Here is a 27,295-nt window from a genome sequence, read left to right on the forward strand (position 1 = left end):
CTGGTTTCCTAGATGTCCACTACTCCCAACTTCTCATCCAACTTCTTTCCAATGTGCCATCCCCTTCTCGTTACAGGTTTTCTTCTAACTTAAAGCCCGGCACCATGTCCTAGGAATACACCTCTCACCATCCTTCTCCCCGAGCCGCACCAGCCTGCAAGTAGAGCGAAGGAGCCACTAGAGACAGAACTCTGGTCCCCCGCACCCTCCTCCTCATCATCTGACACCATCAGACCTCAACAGCCTCTGTGCTAAGAGCCCCTAATGAGCATCAGCAAATTAACAACTTCCCCTTGATTGCTCCTTCTCTGTTAATTGGATAGGGAGGGCCCCCCTCCCCAAGGCCTCTCAGAGAAGAGGAGGGAGGCAGGGAAGGAGAAAGGTGAGAGCCACAGGAGCAGCCCCCAGGCCTGCGTTCTGTGCTGAGACTTCTGCTCCATCCCTGAGCATAGCTCCCCGTTCCAACCCTTCCTCACCCTGTCCCCTTCACTCCCTTTGCCTCCTTCCTTCTGTCCAAATTCCCTTGACCTCTGGCTATTTTTCCTTCCTTTTCTCTGCTCCTTCTTTGGAGATTTGGCAGTAAGGGGTTGCGACCATGCCCCCCACAAGCCCAAAGCTACAAGGATGGGATCTGAGTGGTCAAGGCTGCGTGTTGGCTCACATATGTGCACGTGTATATGTGTCACATGCAGGTGGGAGCAGGGATAAGAGCAGGTGAGTGCTTGCCATGTGGGTCAGGCCCCCGGGATACGTGGACATCTGTTGCGGGGGGGTGTGGTTGTGAATGGTGTGGTGTGACTCTGGTCGGTATGTGTGTCTGTCTCCATATGGGCTAAGTGCTTGAATTAGTCAAGTGTGACTCGGAGCGTGTGTGTGTATGTGTGTGTGTACGCGCGTGTGTGCCACCAGAGGAAGCAGCAGCAAGAGGCAGGAGCATCGATCCGAAGGAGACAGCGCGGGGAGAGGGACGCTAGGGGCAGACACCCTCCCTCCTGCGCGCACACACGCGCGCGCGCACACACACCACACACAGAGTCATACACACAAGCCATAGGGCCTCGCAGGCAGGGAGACGGCTCCGGGACTGGAGAGAGGCAGCGCCGCCGAAAGCGGCCGCGAGGAGGGGCGAGGCGGCGCGGGGAGCCCTGGGTCCCGCTCCCGGATCCGGGGCCCCGCGCGCACACCAGCCCAGAGACAGCCTCGCAGACACTCGTAGGCGCGCACGCGCACCCTCTCCCCTCCCCCTCCCCTCCCGCCGCCTCCCGGCCGGACGATGGATCCCTGCAGATCCCAGGGCTGAGAGCACCGCGCACCGCGCCGAGCCCGGGCAGACCGAGCCGAGGCGAGCGAGCCAGCGAGCCAGCGCGCGCGGGCGGGCGGACAGATCGGAGCCGAGCGGGGCCGGGCGGGGCGCTCCCTGCAGGGCTCTGCGCGGCGTGCCGCGGCGGCCGCGGGCTCCGGCCCCGGGCCATGAGCCCCTCCGCGACTCGGCGCTGAGCCCGCCACCGGTCCAGCGCCCCAGGACCCGCCGCCGGCTGCCGGCTTGCCGAAGCCCCCTCAGGTGGGTTTCCGATACCCCTGCCTTTGGCCGCGAGGCTCCTCGGTACCCCGAAGCCGGGACTCTCCTCCCTCTGGATTTCCCTTGCTGCTGGGGCGGCTCGGTGGCTGGGGAGGGGGGCGGGGGCCGAGCTGGGGATCTGACTGCGACGAGAAGCTGGACTGGGGGGGGCTGCGTCCGGGGCGGGGACAGCTCGCTGTCATAGGGAACCGCGCCCCCCCTCCATACATCCACCTCGGGCAGCCCGCCACCCCCCACTCCCAACATACACACAGCCTGCGCTTATGTGAGAACTGGAGACACCCGCAGGTGAGGACTCAGGCTGGGCCCCTCCCTAGATGTAGCCACCTCCCTGGGGGTTTTCTGGCCCCAGTTTAGCCCTTAGGACCACAGCCCCGTCCAGGGAATACCCGTGACCAGGACAGGAGCTCCTTACCCCGGGGTCAGCCCATCTGGGTGAGTTTTCATCTCCAGGATGGGGTGGATATTCTTGTCCCAGAGTGACCCCACATCTGGAGGGAACTCCTGCGCCTGCCTATGGGTGCATCAGGACTTCCCCCTCAACCTCGGATGACTATATCTGGGGTCTCCCCGGGCCTGGGAAGCTTCTCTGGGGAGCATTCTCTTGGCCTGACCTGACCCCCTGTGCCTCTGTATTTGGAGGAACCCTGGATGTGTCCCTTGGTCAGCCACCTCTGGGCTTGCAAAGCAGGGAAGTCTTCTGCCCGAGGAGTGGTGACCTCTGGAGATGAGGATTCTGGATGGGCACATGTGGAGGGGCTCCATGTGTACTTTCATCCCAGGACAATGATAGACTGTCCCTCCCTCCTCCCCCAGGATCCCCTCAACAAGGATGGAACTGAAGGCCGAGGAGGAGGAGGTGGGTGGCGTCCAGCCGGTGAGCATCCAGGCCTTCGCCAGCAGCTCCACACTGCACGGCCTGGCCCACATCTTCTCCTACGAGCGGCTGTCTCTGAAGCGGGCACTGTGGGCCCTGTGCTTCCTGGGCTCCCTGGCTGTGCTGCTGTGTGTGTGCACGGAGCGTGTGCAGTACTACTTCCACTACCACCATGTCACCAAGCTCGACGAGGTGGCTGCCTCTCAGCTTACCTTCCCTGCTGTCACGCTGTGCAACCTCAACGAGTTCCGCTTTAGCCAAGTCTCCAAGAATGACCTGTATCATGCTGGGGAGCTGCTGGCCCTGCTCAACAACAGGTGGGTGGCTCCCACCCTCCCTCAGCCCTGCTCCTGGAGTTGCTTGAGTTCCAGTCAGGATGTCTGCCTCCCTGACCCACCATAGAGCCCAGCCAACCCTGCCCTTTAACCCACCCCCACCCCCAAACCTGCCACTCACAGCAGAGGAGTTAGGGTGCTGCTGAGCACCCAGTTAAGGGCACCCAGCCTCCGATCCCAGCATAGTCCAGAACAGCTCGACCCCCACCCAGCCTGAGGTATGAGACATTGTCACCCTCTCTGGAGTGAGCTTTACCTTCATTCTGGCCACTCTGTCTTGACCTTCTCGTCAGTTGGGGGATGGGGACAGAACATCTTTAAAGGGTAGAAACTACAGTATAAAAGCCACAGCCCCTGCCTTGTCTCTCTGCCCACCTTATCCATGCTTCCTCTCACCCATGTGCTGGGATGGGATGCCCTGCCCCTGGGCAGCCACTACAGTTCCTCCTGTCATTTCAGACCCATGTGGTAGAGCCTCTGCATGCCCAGCTCTCCTTCCTTGCCTACACCTGGGACTGATCCCCAGGGCTGGAGGCTGCCCCCATCACCCAAGTTGGGTGCAGGACACTGATGACTGTACTGACCCGTGTGTCACTCACCCCCGGACCCCAGGTATGAGATACCAGACACACAGATGGCAGATGAAAAGCAGCTGGAGATACTGCAGGACAAAGCCAACTTCCGCAGCTTCAAACCCAAACCCTTCAACATGCGTGAGTTCTACGACCGAGCTGGGCACGACATTCGAGACATGCTGCTCTCCTGCCACTTCCGGGGGGAGGTCTGCAGCGCTGAAGACTTCAAGGTGGTGAGTCCCCTCGTGTGGGGTGTGAGTCAGCCTGGCCCACAGAGGAGGAGGAGGAGACAAGGAGCAGGCTGGGCCTCTCCGGGTGCTTGCTACTCTGGGAGAGGAAGTTGTATGTCCTGGGGTTTGCTTCTAGTAGAAGGGGAGTTTGTTCAGCATAGGGGCACATTTGCACTCACTGCATGAGCACCTGAGCCTCAGCCTTGCAGCCATGATGGCAGGAAAGAGAGCCTACAGTGCACAACACACACATATATGCACACACGTGCGTGGTCTGGCATAGCCACAAACCCACCAAGCTTACCTTCTAGGCCACAGGTGTCAGAGCTGAGCAGACAGGTGGGTAAGCTACAGCCGTGTTACTTGTAGTGAGGTCCAGGACCATCAACTGGGAGCTTGAAAGGAATGCAGGACTTTGCCACCCCACTTCCCAAACCTACTGAACCAGAATCTCCATCTAATAAGATCCTCAGGTGACTGGAGTATACACTAAAGTTTGAGAAGCACCGTGAAGCACAAGTAAGGGAAACCTTCTCTTAAATAGCCAGACAGTAACTCCCTGTGTGCCATCCGCACCCCATACATAGACACATACACTGTTTGGTTAGGTTTCCTGCTTGCCGGCAAGAGCCGCAGAGCCAGGATCTGAGGAAAGGAAGGCCATCGGGACACCCAGTCATGGCTGCCCTGGAGGCTTCCTTTGCATCTTAAAATGGAGATGCCCCACAGATGTGGCTGCCTCAGGCCAGCACCTCAGGGAGGGCATAGGGAAACTGATTTTGGCATCTGATGTGCTGGGCAACCCTGGGCAAGTCACACAGATTCCTGAGGGTTAAGACCTGGACCCAGATGGCAAAGAGACCAGAGGCTCCAGAGCCATGCAGGAACAATAACACCAAATGAATGGACAATGCTTGTAACTCTTTCAAATGCTTTCTAGGCTCCCCTCAATCCCCTTGATACATAATCACATTACCTCTGTTTTACAAATGCACGAAACTGAGACACAGGCAGAATGATTTACCCAAGCTCACACAGTTAGTGACAGGTGACAGGTTCAGGATTAGAACTCATGTCTTGTTAAGCTGAAAATGTCCTTTACTCTTTTAATTAATATTGTGGACCCTGGGGTTATTGTGTCCACTTCAAATTCTTGCCAGTCTTTTCCAGGACCCTTTGCTCTCCATGCCTACTCAGCTCTTGGATTCTCTTCCTTCTTCCTGCCTATTTTCTCCCCGCTTGCTTGCTTCCTCCTGCAGTATGGGAATATGAACTGTATTTGTGCAGAAAGGATGGCACCATAGTCATGCTTAGTGTTTCTAGCTGTGCAAGACCTCCCAATATCCTTAAGCCTTGCTCTGCAGACCAGTTTCACTGGCCTTTGTCAATCCTGCTGGACAAAGTTCACATGACTGCACTCTTTGCTGAGCCAAGCTGATGGGGAGCTTAGCCAAGATGCAAGAACCACTTCCTTCCCTCTCTTACTGCTTCATAACAGGAGAGTCCTGGATTCCCCAGAGCTTGAGACCAGAGGGTTTGCAGTCTCACAAGTGATGCTCCCAAGAGTAACAGGACTGTAGGTGAAGGTGGAAGCAAAAGCCAGAGCCGCCTCCCTCCAACACACCCAACACACAAGCAGGAGGGACCCGTGAGAAAGATGGAGAAAACGTATTTGTTTGAGTGGTTTGTAGTGTTGGATGAGGGAGAGAAGTGCTTGGCTCAATCTGAGGAGGTGCTAAGATATAAATTTGGGCACAGTTAGTCCATAGAAAGTATTCAGTTGAGGCTCCATCTGTCCATCATGTCCAGAAAGATTCCAAGTGGTGATGCTAAGATAACATTTGGTTGATGGTAATGGAGACACTGAGATGTGATTGGTCCATGCTGTCTGAGGGGACCATTCTAAGTAGTCAGATGGAGATGTGATTGGCTCACAAAGTTCTGGAGCAGTCTGAATTATTCCTCTTACTCAGGGGTAAAGACACACAGGCTAGCACCCTGCAGCCCCAGCTGTGCCCCTTCTTGCTTCTGGGTTGTCAGGGAAGACCAGGTTTTTGCTGTTTTGCAGCCCATGTCAAAGACCTGACCCTGAATTTTGCTGGACTCAAACCTCTCACTCCTCCCTCTGCTCTCTTCAGTTGGTTTCATTGCCAGCCCCTCTCCATGTCAAGAGCTCTACCCATAGGGATGTTCCCACACAGATGGGCGTCTGGCTGGAGTCCATGTCTGACACCTCCCCGGTGGAGAAGGGCCTGGCAGTCTCTCTCCTCCAGCTCCCCAGTCCTAAGGGCTCCCACACTCCTTGCCTGATACTCCATGCTCTCCCTTCTCTCCTCAGTCTTGTGATTAACATCCTTGCCATTCTCTGCTAGGCCAAGAGGTGTGTTGGGAGTGTGTCTCTAGCCCTGGGCAGATGTAGCACTGACAGGAAACACCTGTCTATAGGGTCGATCTAAGGGAGACCATCTTGGCATCTTCTGCAGCCTTCAGAGCAGAGGTTCTTCACTGAGGAAAGAAGGTAGTCAGGGAAGAGAGGCTTTGTGGTTAGGGCTTTGCTTGCTCTTTCAGTAGCTCAGGAAGAAGCTGCTGGGCCCCATCCAACAGGATTGCTGTGGGATACCACCCCCCACTGTCCAAGACCTTGCTCAATGCTTTTGCAAAGTATAGCGTGCGGGGGCACGTGTGGACTCTTTTGTAGATTTCTAAGGGCAACCCTCTTCTCAACAATAAGAACCCTGTTTCTCAAGGCTGGTTGGGGGAGGCATAAGAAGACAATTCAGGGAGGCTACTCTGGTCACTCAAAGACCCCAGCTCCCCTGATGAGGATCTGCAGTAACAGGCATTTCTCCAGATGTGCTCCTGGATCTAGCTCAACCCCAGGGAATAGTTGGTGGTCACAAAGCATTTGGCCAGGGTCCATCCCCCAGGTGTGGCTGAGTCAGCTTGGGAGGGTGGGGGTGAATATGGGGAGCCTGAGCTGAATCTGGGAGAGACTGGTTTGGAAATCCTTCGGGACTGAAGAGGGAGAAGGGCAGGGCAGGGAGTATCCCCACAGCAACCTGGCTGGGAAGGTTTCAATAGCTGCCTCCTGAGCAACCACAGTGACCCAACCACAAGGCCCCCTCTTCCCGGCCACCTCCTTTTCTTCCTGGTAGGGTGTGTTGTTGCCAAGACAATGGGGTCCATGGCTCCTCTCTCCTGCCCCACCTTGAGGCCAGCCAGGCCAAGGCAGGGCAGGGATTCCATGGAGGGGGGCTGGGGTGCAGCTGTCTGCTGGTGTCTGGGTGGGGGCCAGAGAAGTGAGCACAGTCGCAGCTGGTGCCATCCTCCAGCTGCACCTTATCTGTCCCTGGCAGTGGGAGCAGCTGATGTGGCCAGAATGCTGAGCAGCAGCAAGGGGAGGGGGCTGGCAGATGGTCACCCAGTCTGCCCTATGCCACCCCCTCCTCCGCTGAGACCTAGACCCTTTGCCTAGCGGAGAGAGAAGCAGGAATTCATTTCTGGGGCCTGGAAGAGAAGGAAGAGGAGGACAGAGTGGAAATGCTGGGGTGGACATGTGGTGTGACTCATAATCTCTCTCAGGAGGGTGAAATTGGGGGACAGGAATCCCTGGGAGGGGTCCACAGGAGTCCTTCTCAGGACCCTGGATTGGAGACCAGAATCTCCCAGGGAAGAGGTGGAGTGAATGGGGATGAGCACAGAAGCCTCCCCTGCAATCCACTGCTAGGTTCTGAAGGGGCCCGGGCATCCCCTGGAGCACCTAGGGAAGTAAGATGCTGCAATGAGAGGTGGCTGTGGGCGCCTGATCCTGGGACCCAAAGTGGGGAGAGAGAAGTCATCTTAAAGCAGGAGAGCCAGGGATGGCAGTGCCCAGCAAGAGCCAGGACTAGCATGGAGTTTATTCATCCCTAGGGCTCACCCCTCATCCCCACACCCCATGCTGCCCCATAGAAGCTCAGACCAGAAGTCCCTTGGGAGGGCCTGACCTTACTACTGGGGTCTGCACCCTCCAGCTAGGCAGGGAGTGGAGGGGCTGCTGAAGGGAAAGGCTGCCCAGACTGCCATGCAGACAGGGGAAGGGGAATCTTGGGCAGCCCCACCCAGAGGCCTGGTGGTCTTCATGGGTGGGAAGGGGGAACATGCACAGATTGCAGAGGGATAGAAGAGGCCGACCTGGAGACAGTAACTTTAGAGGAGGGGTTCATGGGGTTCATGAACTTTGGGGGAAGGGTTCCTGCCCTAGGGGTTCATGGCTACCACCTCCTGCCTTATCCTTCTCATCTGTCCCTCTCTCCTAGGAAGTGCCTAAACTGAACACAGGTGGGTGGAGAGAGGAGATGGGAGCAGAGCCCATTGCAGTTGCAGGAATCCAGTGGGTGGTCCCTGGGTTGGGGTCTCAGATGTCTCCTTTTGCCTCTCTCTCAGACACAGATACACACAAACATCCTTCAGGTAGCCCAATTTCCTCTCTCACCTCTTCCCCTTCTCCCCAGACCCCAGCCATTTCTGACTCCATCCCTCTCTCAGACAGCTATCAGCTAAGAACTACTCTAAGCTAATTGACCTGGGGGCTGTTGGCTAAAGCAATAGGGAATTCAGTAACTAAGTGCCTCTGGGGGCCAAGCCTGGAAGTGGAGGGCTGGGGAGGAGCACCTCTAAGTCTTGGGACTTTGTCACTGCCCAGCTGGTGGAGAACTCCTGGATATGGCCACTGCATGCCCAGTGTGTCCTGGAGGCAGAAGGGCAGGCCCACAGAGAGGCTTGGAATGTTCTGCTGTGGATGGAGGTTGCTTCTGAGTGTGTTTCAGTTTTGTGGAAAGTAATTTCAATTCTCTGGGGATAGCGAGGGAGACAGAATATTCAGAATGAGAAGCTGGGATTAGGGGAGCGTTAAGCTCCACTGGATTCATTCCCATAGCAGACAGTGCCACTTCCATGTGCCAGGTCCTGCGCTGGGGCAGTTAAGTGCAGCACGGAAGGTTCAGGGCTGAGAGCCATGGGGGTGGTACTAAAGGGGGCCCAGTGGGGTGGGCTTCAGAACAAGGGGGAACATGCTGGGGATGAGCAGACTCTCAACATCCAGGGGGAGTCCTCCCAATCTCCCCAGCCAAACTCAGCCTCTCGGAAAATGCCAGGTTCATAGAATATGTTGGTGTCTCCCCAGCTAACTAAATCAACCGGCCAATTCTCTCCGGCCATTCTTCCGCCTTGGCCAACCCCTGCCCACCCCCACCCCCAAGCTTTCCCTCACTTGTATGTTTGGGGTGGCCAATGCAGAAGCCTCTACCTTCTGACCTATAACGTCCCAGTCAGGACCCTTAGGTGTGCATTCTGGGAGGCAAAGCTGGAAGGAGACAGCGAGAATGAGAAGGGGTGCCTAGCTGGGTGGAGGATAGGACTGGGCATTAGGGCTCCTGGTCTCTATTTTGGGCAAAGTTCCACCTGGCCCCACTTCTTAGCTTCTAAGCCCAATCTCCTGTAAGGAGGTTGTAAAATTATTCTTTATTGAGGGGCAGTCCTTCCTCTGGGACTCTTTGGCCAAGCCCACGGTGCCCCATGTGTAATGGATGTGCAGCGCCAACCTACCTGGACACAGGAATTGGACATCTTCCTCATAGAATATTTAAAAATGATCATGAAGCTGCTGTGTATTCACTTGAAAGGGAAGTTCCCTTAAGGAACTGTAAGGACAGACACTGCCACCCCAGGCTCTCCAAGGCCACTCTCCAGGGAGAGGGAGGGTCAATTGTGATCTTTCTGAGATCCCATGAGTTCTTGGATAGAAAATGCTTTCCCACCCTTCTGCATGCCCTCTGTGTGGCTGACAGTTCTGGGGGCCCAGGAGGTTGGGCTGTGCAGCTTAGTGCCATGTGTCTCTAGTTGGTGTCACACCAGCATGCCAGGCTGAGAACATCCCTGGGGGTGAGACTGTGGCAGTGGCCTTGGCCATGGACAGCAGCCATCTCAGACTTCCTCACAACACCCTCATCACATATGCGCCCCGAGCATGCAAGCACACATGTGCACCTCTGTGTGTGTCTGCAGGGGAGTGTGAATGTAGAGTGTGAAGTGGAAGCATGTGGAGGTGTATGGGGGCCCATGCAGCTTGGTGTGTGTGGCTGTGAGAGAAAGCTTCTGTGTAGGCAAACCTCTGGTTGCATGCAGAGCACATACTAGCAAAATTAATCATCTCTTTCAGTTGTGCTTTGCAATTTACAAATTCCCTTTACTTTAGCTCACGTGATCTTCATAATTCTTGTAGGAAGGAAATTATTAACATCTTCATTGGAAAGATGGGAAAACTGAGGCTCAGAGGAGTTGTGTGACTTGCCTGAGGTCACACAGCTGGGAAATGACAGAGTGGGACCCTGACTTCAGATCTTCTAAGTCCGGGTTCTTTGTGTGTGGCTGTAGGAGTGTGTATGGAGGAGGGTGCTCTGTTGAGAAGCAGTGTGGAGAGGCAGGAAGGGCAAGAAAGGGTATAGAGAAGAGACCCTAGGAATCCCGTTCCCAAGTTGAGTAGGCCTAGTTTTTTGATGCTTTTGTCTTTTCATTGCATCATCAGGCCAAGTGCCAATCTTAGGTGAACCCACCACTGGCTTTCCCCAGGGTCACACCAGGGCAGTCAGGACCTCCCTGAGGAAGTCACATACCAGGGCAGCTTAGTATCACATTGCGTTCATGCTCAACATCCTTAAATGGGCGTGCAGTGCTGCCTGGCAACCCCACTGTGTTTTCCTGGTCAGCTTGCTCTCTCTGATGACTACTTCGAACTTCTCCACTCTTCTCAGTCACCCTTCCTAGCTCCTCTCTCACCCTCAGCGGATGACCTTGGCTACCACTTACTTCACTGAGAAAATAGAAGCCTCAGACAAGATCTTGTCCTTCTTCTGGGTACCAAGCCCTAGAAGGGAACATTCATCTTATCTAGGATAAAGTCTCAACCTAGAATTTTCATCTTATTCCCTCTGCCTTTTTAAGATCTTTCTCCTGCTAATTCTGTCTCTCCCTGCTCTACAGTTGGTCGCTCTTTCTCAAGTGAAACCCCATTGACAATGAAACATGCTGAAGATGCTCTTGTCTTAAAATACATAGCTGTAACGACAGCTAACATATATTGAGAACTTGCTATGTATCGGTCTTTGTGCTAAGATAAAAACTAAAACATGTGTCTCTCAACTCCACAGCACCTGCCAGCTCCTATAGTATCTCTCTGCTTCCCTTTACAAAGTTCCTAAAAGTGATATGTTTATTTCACTGTTTCTATTTCCTCATCTCTAACTCACTTTCTGATCCACTCCAGGCTGCCTTCTTCCCCCATCATCACCATTCCTCCTAAATGGTTCTAGCTAAGGCCAGTGGTCACCTTCATGTTGCCGAATCCAGCAAATATTTTTTTTATTATTCTTGATCTCTCAATAGCATTTAAAATAGTTGCCCACCAACTCTTCTGCTGTTGTTTTTTTTTTTTTTTTGAGACGGAGTTTTGCTCTTGTTGCTCAGGCTGGAGTGCAGTGGCACCATCTCAGCTCACTGCAACCTCCGCCTCCTGGGTTCAAGCAATTCTCCTGCCTCAGCCTCCTGAGTAGCTGGATTACAGATGCGTGCCACCATGCGCGGCTATTTTTTTGTTGTTGTTGTATTTTTCGTAGAGACGGGTTTTCTCCATGTTGGTCAGGCTGGTCTTGAGCTCCCGACCTCAGGTGATCCGCCTGTCTCGGCCTCCCGGAGTGCTGGGATTACAGGCGTGAGCCACTGCGCCCGGACCCCACCACCTCTTTTTTGAACTATTCGCTTTCCTGACAATCATACTCTCTTTGTTTTCCTCCTATGTCTACCCACTCCTCTGTCTCTTTGCCAGTTCATTTTCTTCTACTTGGCCATTTAGTGTCATCACTACTCAAGGCTCAGTCTCAAGCTTTAATCTTCTTTTAAATCATAAGAGTACAATGCACCAGCTTGAAAAATTTTTACACTGGTATGTCTTACAGTGTAGTATTTTGCATATTGCATTGGTATAAAACATTTCCAGTACCCCAGAAAGTTCCTTCAGGCTGTTTCCTAGTCAATGCTACCCCATAAGAGTTAACCACTGTTCTAACAGTATAGATCAATTTCCCTCATTCTTGAACTTCTTGGAGTATATGTATCCTCCATACAGTGTATACTCTTTTGTGTCTGTTTGTTTTGTTTTGTTTTGCTTGTGATTACGTCTGTGAGATTTAGCCATGTTGTTGTGTGTGGAAGTGGTTAGTTCTTTTTTGATGCTGTATAGTATCTCATTATATGAATATGCCACAATTGATCCATTCTACTGATGCTAGACATTTGGGTTGTTACTAGTTTTTGGCTCTTATCTATAAAGCTACTATGAACATTTTTGTTCATGTTTTTTGGTTGATATATGCACTCATTTCTCCTGGGCACATGACTAGCTATGGAGCTATGGTTAAGTCATAGGGTATGATTCTGTTTAGCTTTAGTGGATACTGCCAAATCAGACCTTTTTTTCTATCTTTTTTTTAAACTTTATATTCTATTCTTGGGCAGTCTCATCTTCACTCATCACTTCAATTACCATCTACACACTGACAACTGCCAAATTTATGTCTCAGCCCAGCTCTCTCCTCTTAGCATCAGCTCCAGTCGCCAATTTTCCCACTTAACGTCTCTACTTGGATGTCCCTAAGACTCCTCAAAACCTGCATGTGCAAAACCAAAGTCATCATCTTACCTCCCAAACTAGTTCTTTACCTGTGTGCCTGATCTAGTGAGCCACCCACTGTTCACCCCGTCATGCAAACCAGAAATCATCCCTGACACTCCATCTCCCTCACCTGCCTTGACAGGATCTGCCAATTTTGCCTCATAAACATCTCCACTCTACCCCCTGTTCCGGCCCATCCCACCACTGCATGTCTCTTTGGGCCACGGCAATGGCTCCTCGACAGGCCTTCCAGCAGCCCTTCTATATCCTTCACTCTGCAGCCAGAGTGGTCTTTTCAAATCAAAGCTCTGATCACTTGAACGCCTTCCATGGGGAGTCTTTCATTGTCCCTCAGCCAGAATCCTCACCGTGGCCTTTAAGGCCCTGAGTGACCTGGGTCCTCCCTGCCTTTACCCACCTCTCCAGCCACACTTGCCCCTTCTCATCTCTCTCCTTCCAGGCCTTTGCATACACTCAGTTCTCTCTCTGGAATATCCTCCCTCCTCCACAGCGGTAAGCGCTAGTGCGCACGTGCACACACACAAATATATACACACACACACCATTACCTAATTACTCCTCTTTATTTATTTTTTATTTTATTTATTTATTTATTTATTTATTTATTTATTTATTATTTAATTTATTTTTTTGAGACAGAATCTCGTTCTATTGCCTGGGCTGGAGTGCAGTGGTGCAATCTTAGCTCACTGCAACTTCCACATCCTTGGTTCAAGCAAGTCTCATGCCTCAGCCTCCCAAGTAGCTGAGATTACAGTCATGTGTCACCATGCCTGGCTAATTTTTGTATTTTTAGTAGATAAGGGGTTTCACCATGGTGGCCAGGCTGGTCTTGAACTCCTGGCCTCAAGTGATCCGCCCATTTCAGCCTCCCAAAGTGCTGGGATTACAGGCATAAGCCACCGCGCCCAGCCTCCTCTTTATTCTTTAGACTGTAATTCAAACATCATTTCCTCAGAGAAAGCTTCCTTAATTCCCCAGTCTGGGGCAAGTCCCTCTGTCATTCACTCTGATAGAGTCATTTTTTTTTTTCATAGCACTTATGGTTTGCAATTAGATATTTGTTTTTTTCATTTTTGAATTGAGGTCTGTCTTCCCTGTTCGACAGTAAGCTCCATGAGGGCAGGTCCATGATGTGTTCTCCACTGTGTCAATGAGTAAATGCAAGAATGAAGAAGCAAGGGATTTGGAGACAGATGACCTCATTCCAGCCTCCAGCCCACTTCTTGCTCTCCCTAAGACTTGAATAGGCTGGTGTGGCTCAGTTTTCTCACTTGTCAGATGGGAATGAAGTTACTCAAACCTGCTTATTTCACTGGGTTGTGTGAGGATCCCATGAGATAACAATTGAAAACCATGAAGCATTACACAGACATGAGGGGTGGCTGGAATGAAGAAAGGGATATAGAAAAAGTCAGAAACCACTCAGCACACACTGCTAAAGAGAAGGTCTGGGTGGGGGGCGCTGTATGCTTGGACAGAGGGTTCAGGACTGAGTGCAGCTCTGTGTGTGTGTCTGCTTGGGCACCTCTCCAGGGGCCCTCTGTGTATGCCCTTTGACACTTTCCTCATCCCCCAATTACTTGAACAAGATGAAGATGGGAAAGAATGTTAGAAGAATAAGCATTTGTTTGAACAAGCATACAGGCGATGGAGGAGAGAGGACATGCAGTTGGGTGTGTGTGTGTGTTGGGGTGTGTGCGTGTTGGGGTGTGTGTGTGTTGGGGCGTGTGTGTGTGTGTTGGGGTGTGTGTGTCGCCCCACACCAGGGCTGCGTGTCTGTGTGGTAATGTGCAAGTGTGCAGTGTGGTCTTGGTTGCTGTGGGGGAAGAGGTATTCAGTTGCACCCAACTTACTGTCCTTTGGCACTGTCTGTGCGTGCACACCCTTGTCTTTGCTGGGGCTCCCAAGCTGGAAGCTCCCGCTGCCTTAGCTGCTTCCTTCTGGAAATCAATCTACTTCCCCTTCCAAAACATCTGAAGGAGGGGGACAGTGCCCTCTAGTGGGAACGCATGGGCAGCTGCAGCTTCCTCAGCCCAAGCCTCAGCCCCACTCCACCCAAGTCTGGAAGTCCTCTCTGAAGCACTTCCTGGGGAATGCAAAGGAGGAGGCCCCTGCCCTCTGAGAGCTCAAGATCTGGCAGGCAGGAAAAAGATACACACAGGACAGGACACACAGGTTCATGCAGGAGAAGCCTGAGGACAGCAGCTGAAGGTGGGGGAGTCTCTCCTCATCTCTGCAATGACTTATCTCTGGTTGCCCTGGGTGTTCCTGGCCTTCCTTGCTTCCTGTTCCTGCACATGGTCTCTTGGTCCTGCTCTTTTGCTCTCGGTCATTACTCATAGCTGTAGGGCCTTGAGCAGAACTGGACCCTTTAGTCTATTCCCTGGGTGGGCACTAACAGCACCCTGTGGAGTCGGGAGGATTCTTGGAGGAGGTAACATGTGAGTAGGATCTTGAAAAATGAGTAGGAATTCTCCAGATGGAGTCCAGGGAAGGCACAGGACTGTGGATGAGCCTCGTGTGTCTGGGGACAGGTGGTGGTGGCTGGATGCTGGCCTGAGGTGGAGGGTACATTGCTTTCAGCTTTTTTTTTTTTTTTTTTGAGACGGAGTCTTGCTCTGTCCCCCAGGCTGGAGTGCAGTGGCTCAGTCTCGGCTCACTGCAAGCTCCACCTCCTGGGTTCACACCATTCTCCTGCCTCAGCCTCCCGAGTAGCTGGGACCACAGGCGCCTGCCAGCACACCTGGCTAAATTTTTTTGGTTTTTTTTTTTTGTATTTTTAGTAGAGACAGGGTTTCACTGTGTTAGCCAGGATGGTCTCGATCTCCTGACCTCTTGATCTGTCCACCTCGACCTCCCAAAGTGCTGGGATTACAGGCGTGAGCCACCACGCCTGGCTGCTTTCAGCTTTGTGGGGCTACAAGAGAGGACTAAATTTTGCCAGGAGGCAGTGGGGAGTGAGAGAAGGTCTTTACTTTTTTGAGATGGAGCCTTGTTCTGTCGCCCAGGCTGGAGTGCAGTGGTGCGATCTCGGCTCACTGCAACCTCCGCCTCCCGGGTTCAAGCGATTCTTCTGCCTCAACCTCCCAAGCAGCTGGAACTACAGGTGCGTGCCACCATACCTGGCTAGAGAAGGTCTTTAAGCAGAAGAATGGTCAGAGTCACACAACTCGAACTAAAGGTGGGGAGAAACTGCAGGGAGGCAGGGAGACCAGTTGAGAGGCTGTTGTTTAGGCAAAAGAGGAGGGCAGTGGCAGAAAGAGGAGGACAGTGGCTGTTGTTTAGGCCAGTCTGAGGGCAGTGGCAGAAGGATGGAGAGGGGCTAGAGCTCAAGACTCTGCTTCTGAGGCCTCTTTGTCCCTGGCAGCAAAGCTGAGGCCAAAGGTTCCACATCACTCAGTTCTGCTAGAACCTGACACCCTGCCTCACATCCCCAACACACTCTAGGGTCTCTGCAAATGGAGAAGGGAAGATGGTGGGAGCAGGGAGGGAGAAGAGAGGAGGAGGAAGGGGAACATGGCCTGGGGCTAGGGGATGCTTAAGGAATGGGGAGGCCCAAGCAGACCCACCTAGCCCCGGTCTAGCCCCACTGCTCCTCCTCTGGCCCTGCAGAGAAAGCATTAATCTGCTATACCTCCCTCCCCCGCTTCCCCTCCTCCCCTCGGGTCACCTTCTTGGCCCTGGAGACTTGGCTGATGGCTCAAGTTCCTCAACCAGTGGCCCTGAGTAATCAGAACACACAGAGGGGCCAGGGGCCTGGGGGCAGGGAATGGTAAATTAGCGGTAGGGGAGCCTCAGAGACTGAGGCCGGGAGTCTGCAAGGCTGAGGGTTTTGGTGGGAACCCCAAGTTGGTTCCCAATACTCTCTACCTGACCCAGGTCCCCCTGCCCCACCCCCAGCACTGATCTCAATTTCTTCCACCCACCAGAGAATTCCTCGAACAAACTAAACTGTTCGGGGGGCGGGGGGCAGGCCAAAAAGGGTAGTGGTGATCTGCCAGGAAGCTTTCCCACTGCAGGAGACAGGGTCCCTCCCCCTAGTGCCGGGAACTGGTCAGAAATGAGTCTGTGGTCAGTGAGAGACTGCTGCTAATGGAACCTGGGCTGGCCCACAAGCCACAGGAGGGGTAGGGGAGAGGAAAGGAACCAAAATACATCTCAGCATAGGTGGGTAGGACGAGGGCTGGTAATGCTGTCCTGAAATAGAGCTGGGGCCAGGGAGGGAGGGGAAGAGAAACAGGGTCGGGGACTGGAATTGGAGGTCTGAGAGAGTACCTGGTGGTGGGGCACGGAGGGGCTCAGGTATCCCAGAGGAATAACTGGACGAGGGAGAATAAGGGAGAGGACCCAGAATTGGGATGGGGACACTGAGGGATATGCTGAGGAACAGATTGGAGGATGACAGAGAGCATGAGTGTGTGTTGTGTGTGTCCTGGGGGGGTAGGGACTGTGGTCGCTGTGATCATCATGGCAGTGGGTGCAAAGGATGGTGCTAGGTCCCGTCTCACCTGGGAGGGGTGGGTTCCAGGAATCCCAGCCCTAGGCTTTTCCAGGGTTTCCACTCTGTCCTAAACCCTCTCTGTGCTGCCGGAGCTGGTGACAGGAAAGGGGCTCCAGCCCCCTGCTCTCCATCAGCCTCCCTTTCCCACTGCCATCAATTATTCATCAGCCCAGACACCCGCCCTCCCTGGCAGGGCAGGCTGGTCCTCCTCCCATGCCCCGCCCCAGCCACACTGCCACAGAGGCCCTGGTGAGGAAGGACGGCCAGCTGGGCTGAGATACCTGGCTGACGGGCTGGGTGGCTGGCTCTGCCGGACTCTGCCTGGAGTCACATCGCCTTCCCCTCTGGCACCTTCCCCCTTCCTCCTGCAAATCCCTGGCACCAGGAAGCCCCTGGAGAAAATGCCCATCCAGATCTTCTGCTCCATGTCATTCTCCTCTGGAGAGGAAGCCCCAGGGCCCTTGGGAGATATTTGGGGTCCCCACCACCATCAGCAGCAGCAGGACATCTCAGAATCGGAAGAGGAGGAAGAAGAGAAGGAAAAGGAGGCAGTGAGGAAGGAGGCCAGTGAGGGGCATTCACCCATGGACTTGGTGGCCTTTGCCAACAGCTGCACCCTCCATGGCACCAACCACATTTTTGTGGAGGGGGGTCCAGGGCCAAGGCAGGTGCTGTGGGCGGTGGCCTTTGTCCTGGCACTGGGTGCCTTCCTGTGCCAGGTAGGGGACCGCGTTGCTTATTACCTCAGCTACCCACACGTGACCCTTCTAAACGAAGTGGCCACCACGGAGCTGGCCTTCCCGGCAGTCACCCTCTGCAACACTAATGCTGTGCGGCTGTCCCAGCTCAGCTACCCTGACTTGCTTTATTTGGCCCCCATGCTGGGACTGGATGAAAGTGATGACCCCGGGGTGCCCCTCGCTCCACCGGGCCCTGAGGCCTTCTCTGGGGAGCCCTTTAACCTGCACCGCTTCTACAATCGCTCCTGCCACCGGCTGGAGGACATGCTGCTCTATTGCTCCTACCAAGGGGGACCCTGCGGCCCTCACAACTTCTCAGTGGTGAGTGGAGCCCCATGCCTGCCACAGTACCCCAAGAGTGTCTGCCATGGCTGTCCCTGACTGTCACCTCCTGGGGTTGGGGCTGGGGCTGGGGCTGGGGCTGATGACTGTGCTGCCCCCTACCTCATCTGGCTGACACAGGCCAGAGCTCACCCAGGAGTCCGGGGCCTGGAGCTGGGCTGGTATTCCCAGGTCCACACCAGTGCTGCTTTTCCTGTTAGAATCTTGAAACACGTCTGTCTTAGTTGGTATTTTGCTGCTGCCTCCCAACATGTCCTCCAGCTTTACCTGCCCTTCTCAAGACTTCCTCATGGTCCAGCAGGGCCCGGGACCTTGCTCCATCTGTGAGGTCAACCTTTGATCTGTTGGTGGACGCCAGTGCCTGGCCAGTTGTTCACTATTTTGACTAGCACCCATGGACTGAAGCTGGGGTGGGTGCTGCCTGGTCTCTGGTGGTACAAGAGAAGGGAGTGAAAGGGTGACAGTAGAGGGGTGGGGATATCCCCCAACCCCACCCCACCATGGCCCTTGTCAGCATCTCCTGCAGCAGGGACTTCATTGCATCTTCACTTGGTCTTCCTGTGCCCTCCTATGGACGCCCCACCCCCACCAGCTCTGTGTGTGTGTGTGTGTGTGTGTGTGTGTGTGTGTGTGTGTGTGTGTCTGAGGGTAAATAACAGGTCTCTAAATCATATCCCTCTCCCCAGCTTTAAGTGGCCAGGGACCCTCTTCCTAGGGGAAGCTCTCACTGGGAACTGTCCTTCTGCTTGGCCCCCCACCCAGGGGTCCAGGGCTTTCCCTGCTGGGGGGCCACCTGGTACCCCACTGTCTCTCCTAAGTTCATCTTCCAGGTCTGTCTGGCCTGACTGCTCTCCTGCCCCACCAGCTCCCAGATGCCAGGCCTTCCCTGCCCCACACACCCATCCCTCAGTCCTCCACCCCCTCCCTAGCGTAGGGGCAGGGGGTGTCATCATACCCGTGCATCATGGGATGACTGCAGGCATACAGGGGCCTGGGGGTTTGGGCCACTGGGCCTCAGGCCAGGAGCCATAGGAATGTGTCTACCTCTGGGCCCGAGAGTAGAGCAGACAGTTCTCACCCAGGCCCACCAGGTGGCAGCAGCAATCCACTGTACAGCAGCCCTGTCCTCTGAACCGGCGCAAGACAGGGCTGCTAGCCGGCCTCAGACACCTCTAATCCCATACAACTCCGGATGGAGTGTAGGCATGGGCATATGTCCAGCCTGGAGCCTGTGGCTGGGTGCCGCAAGACCTGGTCATGGGGCTGGGGACTAGGAGCCCTTGGAGTTCTCTCTTTGCCTCATCTCTGGACCTCACCCACAAAGTGGGGAGAGCAGTATGTCTCCTCTTCTGGAGGTCAATGGAGGAGGCTGTTCTAGGAAGGGGGAAGGGGGCAAAGACCGTATTCCCTAGTAACCTACTGCCATTGCTGCTCCAGTCTGGCCTGAAACTCTTTTGTCTCTCCCCTGCTCTGGGCTGTATTGACTCACCTTATGACCTGTTTTGTGGACTTTGTCACCATCCAGCAGTAGTAAAAGCACAGCCACCCCAACTTGGGGACATTCAAGGAGGCTGTGGGGAAAAGGCCAAGGATAACTGGTTTACTTTTCTCTTTGCAGCTTTTTAATCAGCACTGTGACCAGGGCTGCACTGGGGCATGGAGTGGGGAGAAGACTGGGGAGACAGCCCCTGGGGCTGAGATATCTTCTGAGGCCCTCCTAGTTTTGCAAAAGCATTAACGCACACACCATGCCCTGGGGGCTCAGTCCCAAGTGCTGGAAGAAGAGGTGCTGGTGCTTGGTTGAGTGTGGTCCTTGGCATGGCAACTGGGTCTACTTTCAGGTTCTGCTGATAATGGGATAATGGAATAATGATGGACCCAAGGGGCTAGGGGCTGAATGAAACCAAAAAACTGAGTTTGGCTGGGCACGGTGGCTCATGCCTGTAATCCCAACACTTTGGGAGGCTGAGGCAGGTGGATCACCTGAGGTCAGGAGTTTGAGACCAGCCTGGCCAACAGGGTGAAACCCCATCTCTACTAAAAATACAAAAATTAGCCGGGTGTGATGTTGTGCACTTGTAATCCCAGCTACTTGGGAGGCTGAGGCAGGAGAATCACTTGAGCCCAGGAGGCGGAAGTTGCAGTGAGCTGAGATCGCACCACTGCACTCCAGCCTGGGCAACAGAGCAAGACTCCATCCCAAAAAAAAAAAACTGAGTTTGGGTCTTGGGGAAAGCAGAATTTCAGATTCCCAGAGTGAAATCTAGGAGAAGAGAAGATATGTCTTGGAGGGCCTCAGGAGCTTGGGCCTGAGGAAAGTGTCCCAAGGAGGGGCCGTGTTAGGATCCTGGTGATGAAAATGTATATGTCAGGGTCCTGGCAGGAAAAAGACAGCTACTTGATGATTTAATTGAAGACTTTAACAAAGGGACTGCTGACAGAGCTGGGGGCAGGGTTAAGGAAACCAATAAGGGGGACTGAGGCAGTGAGCAGTACTAGGAAATCGTTATCACTTCTAGGCTGAAGAAGCACAAAAGAAGACAGTGCTCTGTAGGGAGCCCTGGCAGGATCTGTAATCATGGAGGGCCTAAGGCACTACTAGAGCTACAGAGGGGCGAGGGCTGGGGAAGGATTCATACCCCAATCTTTCCTCCTGCCTTCTGAGCCATTACCAATACCTCCCAACTGTCAACCCCAACTAGAAGCCCATGCAGGTGGCAAAGGAGCTCAGGCGATGCACCCTACCAGGAACAGTTTTCCAGGGCACACAGAGGGCAAGAAAGGGTGAGAAACAGGTGGGAGAGGGGAGCAAATGGAGAATGGGCTGCACGGGAGGAACCATTCCCAAAGGGTGTTGAGATTCCAACAGCTGGGGTGGCTAGGAACAGCCCTTGGTGAGTAGAGGGTGCTGGCAGGACTCTTAGGCTCTCCACTCTGCCCTCGCCAGGTCTTCACACGCTATGGAAAGTGCTACACGTTCAACTCGGGCCGAGATGGGCGGCCGCGGCTGAAGACCATGAAGGGTGGGACGGGCAATGGGCTGGAAATCATGCTGGACATCCAGCAGGACGAGTACCTGCCTGTGTGGGGGGAGACTGGTACGTCACCCACTTCAGGGGCCCCTCTGCATGGCTCTAGGCCCCAGCCTCTGCCAGGGGATTCCTGGGCTTCACTGTGAGACCTGGGCAGGGCCCGGGCTTTCCCCTCTCCCTCCAGCATCTCACCATCTCTATCACTGACTCTACCTGACTTCCACACTCACATCTCTCTGGCTCCCACTTCCTGGTTCAGTTACTCTCCAAGGTAACCAGCCATCCTCTTCCATCAACGCCGCCGCCACTCTATAAATAACTCCCTCTCTTCTCGGGCTGCCTGCCTGTCTGGTCTCGGGGGGCCTTGGGGCAGAGAGAGATGGGGGAAAAGGGAAAAAGGGAGTGGGAGAAATGGAGAGCATCTGAAACAGTGACACTCTGGGAGAAAGTATTTGAAACATCAAGATGCAGAGCAGAAGCCAGGTAAGAAAAGAAGTGTGTAGGATACAGGGGTCATCGGAGCAGCTCAGAGCTGGTAAACCCAGAAGGAGGCTAGGGGGTGGGCTAGGACCCTATAGACTTCCCCCACCCCAGCCCCAGTGCACCCTATGCTTATTTCCAGGAGAGGTAGGATGCCCCCAGGTCTGAGGGGTGTTAGGGAGTCAGGAGCCCTCCCAACCCACACACTCCTCATTCCCCTAGACGAGACGTCCTTCGAAGCAGGCATCAAAGTGCAGATCCATAGTCAGGATGAACCTCCTTTCATCGACCAGCTGGGCTTTGGCGTGGCCCCAGGCTTCCAGACCTTTGTGGCCTGCCAGGAGCAGCGGGTGAGAGGGCCATGGGAGGCTGGTCCTGGGGTGGGGTATTGAGGGGTCCAGATGGAGTGGTGGGCAATCAGTAATGGGAAGGACAGGTGAGCAAGGACCTGGGTGGTAATCTGGCTAGTCAGAAGCATGAGTGATCGAATGAACAAGAATGCTCTGTAAACTCTGAGACCTTTGGAGGCTGCAGAGGGAGAGGGGAGCAGAACTCCAGAGATCTGCATCTTGTCAGAGGAGTCCATCAAGCTGATTTGGGGAGAAGTCCCCGCACTCCCCCAGCTCCCCGGCTCTCCCAGCAGCTCATCTACCTGCCCCCACCCTGGGGCACCTGCAAAGCTGTTACCATGGACTCGGATTTGGATTTCTTCGACTCCTACAGCATCACTGCCTGCCGCATCGACTGTGAGACGCGCTACCTGGTGGAGAACTGCAACTGCCGCATGGTGCACATGCCAGGTCAGGCCTGGGGCTCCGAGCATACTCCTGGGGTCCCTGGGCCTTTGCTGCCCTTCACTAGCTCCCCATCCATATCAATCTCCCAACCCCAGTTCCAGCCCACCCCATCCCACACCCACCTGGCTCATGTCTCTCTGACCTCAGTTCCCGCCTGCACCCCCAGGGATGGGTGGGAAGGGTCTAGAAGGTATGGACCTGGAGTGGGTCACTTCTGGGGCAGCATGGGGGCCTGCCAGTCCTCCCTTCCCATCTTCTCCCAGCTTACACCTTCTAGGCCTTTGGTACTACCACCATCACCAGACCCCTTGAATTCCCATCCTGCATCATTGTCTTTTCTCCTCTGTAGGGGATGCCCCATACTGTACTCCAGAGCAGTACAAGGAGTGTGCAGATCCTGCTCTGGGTGAGCGCCCCTGGCCTGGGGCAGTCTGGGGGAGGGAAAAGGTGCTGCCAGCCACGTGCGCAGGAGTTTCAGGTCACGCTCCCAGAAGCCTCACATAACTCCTGGACTGGGCTGCACCCTCTCTTGTGTCTGACATTAAAGCTGAGAATGGTCAGTCATGGTGGCTTACACCTGTAATCCCAGCACTTTGGGAGGCTGAGGTGGGCAAATTGCTTGAGCCCAGGAGTTCGAGACCAGCCTGGTTTCATGGTGAAACCCTGACTCTATGAAAAATTAAAAAAAAATTATGTGGGCATGGTGGCATGTGCCTCTAGTCCCAGCTACTCTGGAGGCTGAGGTGGGAGAATTCCTTGAACCGGGGAGGTGAGGTTGCAGTGAGCCGAGATTGCACCACTGCACTCCAGCCTGGGTGACAGAGCAAGACCCTGTCTGAGAATAATAATAATAATCAATAAAGTTGAGAATAGCATCTTCAGAGGCCCCTATGAAAAATGAACAGAGGTCACCTGGGAATGGCCTTCATCTTCTTTCATCAGCCCCTCAGCTGGTTGACCCTGGAGGGTCCTGAGGAAGTGAGATATAAGAGTAAGAAATATCCATGGGGAGGCTTGGTGAGAATTAGCACATGGTAGACACAGCTGTGAGGGGGCAGCTGGGGTTCTCCTCACTCTCCTAGTTCTCTCCATCTACATCGTTGGTTCAGTGGCCTGCAGGGTTCAGCAGGTAAAGTCCTCAAACATGCCTCAGGCTGGATGGTGAGGTAGGATGTTGGCAGAGTTTAGCATCCAGGCAGGGTGAAGGGCAGGTCACGGAAAGAGAAAGGGGCCCAGAGTTTCTCTGGGCAGAGCTAGGATGTGCATGTGGGAAGGTGCTGGCAGAAGGGCACCACTCAACTGAGACCTCTCACCTGGCTGAGTGCAGACTTCCTGGTGGAGAAGGACCAGGAGTACTGCGTGTGTGAAATGCCTTGCAACCTGACCCGCTATGGCAAAGAGCTGTCCATGGTCAAGATCCCCAGCAAAGCCTCAGCCAAGTACCTGGCCAAGAAGTTCAACAAATCTGAGCAATACATAGGGTAAGGGCTCTGGCTGGGTAGAGCAAGGCCCTTGGGTTGGGACTGTGGAATGGATGAGTGGGGTTTGATGGGGGCGGGGGCTGGCAGGCAGGGGGAACTTGAGATAACACGGGGAAGGTCCAAAAGGCAAGCAAAGAGTCTAGGGTGGGTATGCAGGGAAGATCAAGCCAGAATAAGCAGGGAAGCACCCCTTTCTCCTCCTTCTTCATCCTCATTGTTGTAACCGGAGTCACTTTATACTTGATGCATACTGCATATGGTACAGAACATTTTTTCATATATGCCATCTCATTTAATCCTAAAAGGCAGGTATCTCCATCAGCATCTCATTTTATGGATATGGAAACTGAGATTCAGAGAGGCTGCCTTGCCAAGGTCACCTGGTTAGTAAGAGATAGAGATATGACTTGAACCTAGGTCTCCTCCCCCAATCCCTGTGCAGGGAGAACATCCTGGTGCTGGACATTTTCTTTGAAGTCCTCAACTATGAGACCATTGAACAGAAGAAGGCCTATGAGATTGCAGGGCTCCTGGGTGAGCTGCTGATGACACCTGTCCCCTTCTCATGCCATGGGCATGGCGTGGCTCCCTATCATCCAAAAGCAGGGTGCTCACTTCTGTCCCATGAGGGTCCTCCACCCCAGAGGCCCTTCCCCAAACCCTGTTGTCTTGGTAAGTGGTGAGGGAAGGGAACTGAGCCTTCTCTTAGGGCAAAGTGGAAAAGAGAAAAGACAGGCCTGTGGGCATGAGGGAGGGGTAGGCATGGAAGTGGAGACTATTTCATATGCCCCTAAACTAAGAGGGTTGTGGTATTTTGTAAACGATTATTTTTCTTGAAAAACACCTGCTTGTTTTAGAAAGGTAGAAAAACGCAGAAAAGCATAGAGAAGAAAACAAAAATTCCACCTGAATCTGGCTTTGCGATCCTTCTGTGCGAAGGCTACCAATCCCTTTGAGAATACAACTTGCCTGCCCCAGTCCCAGTAAACCCTGCTGCCCCCACGATGTCCTGACCCCACTGACCCCCCTGGCGCCTGCCCCCGCAGGTGACATCGGGGGCCAGATGGGGCTGTTCATCGGGGCCAGCATCCTCACGGTGCTGGAGCTCTTTGACTACGCCTACGAGGTAAGCGGGGGCGAGGCCCGGCACGGGGCCACGTGGGGGCGGGGTCCAGCCCGCCCACCTGCCCCGTCCCCGTCCTAGGTCATTAAGCACAAGCTGTGCCGACGAGGAAAATGCCAGAAGGAGGCCAAAAGGAGCAGTGCGGACAAGGGCGTGGCCCTCAGCCTGGACGACGTCAAAAGACACGTGAGGGAGCGAGCGAGGGCGCCCTCCAGCCCGCCTGTGCCTCCACCGCCCCAGGAACCCCGTCCACCCCCGCCCACCCGCCTCTGCCACCACCTTCTCTCCTTTGCCTCCCGAATGCCCCAGCACTACCTGAAGCCCTTCCGAGGGATAACCCGTCCCTGTCCTGTCCCCTTCCCCCAGAACCCGTGCGAGAGCCTTCGGGGCCACCCTGCCGGGATGACATACGCTGCCAACATCCTACCTCACCATCCGGCCCGAGGCACGTTCGAGGACTTTACCTGCTGAGCCCCGCAGGCCGCTGAACCAAAGGCCTAGATGGGGAGGACTAGGAGAGCGAGGGGGCCCCCAGCTGCCTCCTCACATCTGCCCTGGGGACTCCCCACACTCCGGGGCAGATCTTTCCTCTTGTCTGTGGTAAGGAAGGAGTCTTGACCATAGAGTCCTCTCTCTGCCTCTATCCCATTCTTTTTACATTTAACAAAACTAATCTAAAAAAGAACTAAAAAGGGAGAACGGGGCAAGGGACCTCAGGCTGCCCCTCTCTCCTCCATGCTGCCTCCCCTAGCTCCCAGCCTGAATTCTGTCTATCTAGCTGTCTGCCATCTGAGTGTCCATCTACATTCTGCTGCCACCAGTCACCAAAGGCCCTTCCCAGTGAGGGGTGGAAGGGATCTCTGGGGTCTGGAATTTGGCCCCAAACCAGAGAATGTACCTTAAGGGGGAGGGCTAGTGTGGGGGAGGGAGGCTTCCCCAGCCTTAAGAGACCCTCTCAGCCCAGTGACTGTCCCCAAACCCAAGTCTCCTGGCAGGAACTAAAACCTCAGCCCCACTCTCTCACACCATGTGGAATCTCGTGGGGGTCGGGGATCCCCTTAAGAAGTGGTAATGGGGACAAGATGCGGCCCTGGTGCTGTAGGCTACATCCTGATACCTATAAGTTCACCCCCACCCCACAGCTGCTGGAGAGAAATCCCAAGAGGCAGCCCTTCCTCACCATCCCATTAAAGACCGGGCTGGTTAGCGTCCAGCTCAGGGAGAAGGGCGCTAGTGCCTAACCTCACTGGTCCCTCTCCCGGAGGCCCTTGTAGAGGGCCACGTCCATAAATTTTCTTATGGAACTCTCCCACATCCTCTTCCCCAACTTCATTTGCTTCTCTCAACAACCTCATCTGCATTTTCTATTTCTATATGATACAGACTCTATATTGCTATATCTCTGTATATACTTTCCCAGCCCTGTCTGTCTCCACCCCATCCCCTCTTGTCTCTGAGAACCATTCTCCCACCCCAAGTTCCACCTTCTATGTTTCTACTCCCTCCCTGGTCTCTGAATGCCTTCGCCTGTATAAAGAGTTGGACTCTCTCCCCTGGTGTCTGTACTGTGTACACACATCCCTCTGAGAAGCACAAGGAGACGACACGCGCATTGTAACCTTTGCACTGTCTCAGTGGCGACAAAGGAAGCTGTGAATCACAAGCTCTGCCTCTTTCTGGCCTCACCCTCTCCCCCAACCCGGGCACCCTCGGCCCTCCCTGCAGCCTTAACATTCTCTTCCCCTGCTCCTCCTATCCCATTGCCCTCTGCCCAGCTGACAGTGGCATCCCCAGGGAAGGGGTTGCTGTAGAGATAGCCCCCACCCAGGGGATGGAGGTCTACCCTGGACACTAAGCCAAGTGTGTCAGAGACAGAAGGGAGCTGGGGATTGGCGACTCCTGAAGTTGGGGCAGTGGGATGCTGACAGGCAGAAGCTGAGGTCCTCAGTCAGTGGCCTTTCCTCCTTCTGGGTGCCCAGCCCCCTTTCCTCACCTGATACCCAAGCCCACCACTTTTATTTTCTGGTGAGGTGGGTTTGGGAGGAAAGAGAGGCCTAGAGGAGGAGTTGAAAGCTCTGCTGTTGTCTCACCCTATCTTAATGAGAGACAAGTGAGGTGGAGGGCCTGCCCCCCCTCCCTCCACCAGACACTCCTTCCAGGCCTGAGCCCCAACCCCTCTTCAGGCCTTCCTTCCCTAGCTGTGTCTTGGTCTTCAATCCCAGAACAGGACCTGTGAGCAGCTGCATTGGCCTGGAGCTGGAGAGTAAGGCTGTAGGATCTTTGGAATCTCTTGGTTCCTAAGAGTTTCCTCAGAGATCATACCTCCCCAGAGGGAAGCAGGAATGAGGCCAAAAAGTGTGCATTGGATAGGGGAACAGCAGGCAGGGCTCTGGGTGACGCATGCCTCTGGTCTAATAAACTGGGTTTCAACCATCTCCTCTTCAGTGTTGTTCTCTTATTTGAAAAAGTATT

The 27,295-nt window shown here is 54.3% G+C and overlaps 1 protein-coding gene across 13 annotated transcripts, besides 6 other annotated features; it reads left to right on the plus strand.

The window, feature by feature from the left end:
- Nucleotides 1,044-1,203: a silencer, noted in NCBI's record as "silent region_4444". NCBI's record gives its function as "represses an Ori minimal core promoter by ATAC-STARR-seq in GM12878 lymphoblastoid cells {active_cell/tissue: GM12878}" and the evidence as "EXISTENCE:reporter gene assay evidence [ECO:0000049][PMID:35858748]".
- ASIC1 (acid sensing ion channel subunit 1) lies at nucleotides 1,241-27,267 on the plus strand. 13 transcript variants are annotated; one of them, NR_046389.2, is made up of 13 exons: nucleotides 1,241-1,561; nucleotides 2,396-2,773; nucleotides 3,404-3,599; nucleotides 20,613-20,694; nucleotides 20,858-21,008; nucleotides 21,645-21,772; nucleotides 22,066-22,222; nucleotides 22,569-22,625; nucleotides 23,547-23,700; nucleotides 24,143-24,234; nucleotides 24,747-24,826; nucleotides 24,905-25,009; nucleotides 25,190-27,256. NR_046389.2 is itself a non-coding variant. In XM_011538350.2 (13 exons), exons 2-13 carry the CDS (start codon nucleotides 2,412-2,414, stop codon nucleotides 25,292-25,294), a joined length of 1,683 nt encoding a protein of 560 aa, XP_011536652.1. In that variant the 5' UTR covers nucleotides 1,241-1,561; nucleotides 2,396-2,411; the 3' UTR covers nucleotides 25,295-27,267. The 13 variants fall into 13 exon arrangements, 12 of the variants coding, with proteins under 12 accessions (XP_011536652.1, NP_001399685.1, XP_011536654.1 ...); XM_011538350.2 differs by having other exon boundaries at nucleotides 20,613-20,705; nucleotides 22,063-22,222; nucleotides 25,190-27,267; NM_001412756.1 differs by having other exon boundaries at nucleotides 20,613-20,705.
- Nucleotides 1,274-1,443: a silencer, noted in NCBI's record as "silent region_4445". NCBI's record gives its function as "represses an Ori minimal core promoter by ATAC-STARR-seq in GM12878 lymphoblastoid cells {active_cell/tissue: GM12878}" and the evidence as "EXISTENCE:reporter gene assay evidence [ECO:0000049][PMID:35858748]".
- Nucleotides 18,714-18,983: an enhancer, noted in NCBI's record as "active region_6339". NCBI's record gives its function as "activates an Ori minimal core promoter by ATAC-STARR-seq in GM12878 lymphoblastoid cells {active_cell/tissue: GM12878}" and the evidence as "EXISTENCE:reporter gene assay evidence [ECO:0000049][PMID:35858748]".
- Nucleotides 19,004-19,103: an enhancer, noted in NCBI's record as "active region_6340". NCBI's record gives its function as "activates an Ori minimal core promoter by ATAC-STARR-seq in GM12878 lymphoblastoid cells {active_cell/tissue: GM12878}" and the evidence as "EXISTENCE:reporter gene assay evidence [ECO:0000049][PMID:35858748]".
- Nucleotides 19,234-19,283: an enhancer, noted in NCBI's record as "active region_6341". NCBI's record gives its function as "activates an Ori minimal core promoter by ATAC-STARR-seq in GM12878 lymphoblastoid cells {active_cell/tissue: GM12878}" and the evidence as "EXISTENCE:reporter gene assay evidence [ECO:0000049][PMID:35858748]".
- Nucleotides 24,733-24,902: a silencer, noted in NCBI's record as "fragment chr12:50474871-50475040 (GRCh37/hg19 assembly coordinates)". NCBI's record gives its function as "represses an EF-1alpha promoter that drives an FKBP-Casp9 reporter gene in an ReSE screen in HepG2 liver carcinoma cells {active_cell/tissue: HepG2}" and the evidence as "EXISTENCE:reporter gene assay evidence [ECO:0000049][PMID:32094911]".
- Nucleotides 27,268-27,295: the final 28 nt, after the last annotated feature.

This window comes from Homo sapiens, chromosome 12 (assembly GCF_000001405.40).
Source record: "Homo sapiens chromosome 12, GRCh38.p14 Primary Assembly".
NCBI classification, from domain to species: Eukaryota; Metazoa; Chordata; class Mammalia; order Primates; family Hominidae; genus Homo; species Homo sapiens.

Bases quoted from the DNA above. Each gene is read 5' to 3' on its own strand.
- ASIC1 (NM_020039.4), top strand. From the start codon at position 2,412: ATGGAACTGAAGGCCGAGGAGGAGGAGGTGGGTGGCGTCCAGCCGGTG. The intron at 21,773-22,065 runs GTGAGAGGGCCA...CTCTCCCAGCAG, and splicing joins TGGCCTGCCAGGAGCAGCGG to CTCATCTACCTGCCCCCACC. The intron at 24,827-24,904 runs GTAAGCGGGGGC...TCCCCGTCCTAG, and splicing joins TCTTTGACTACGCCTACGAG to GTCATTAAGCACAAGCTGTG.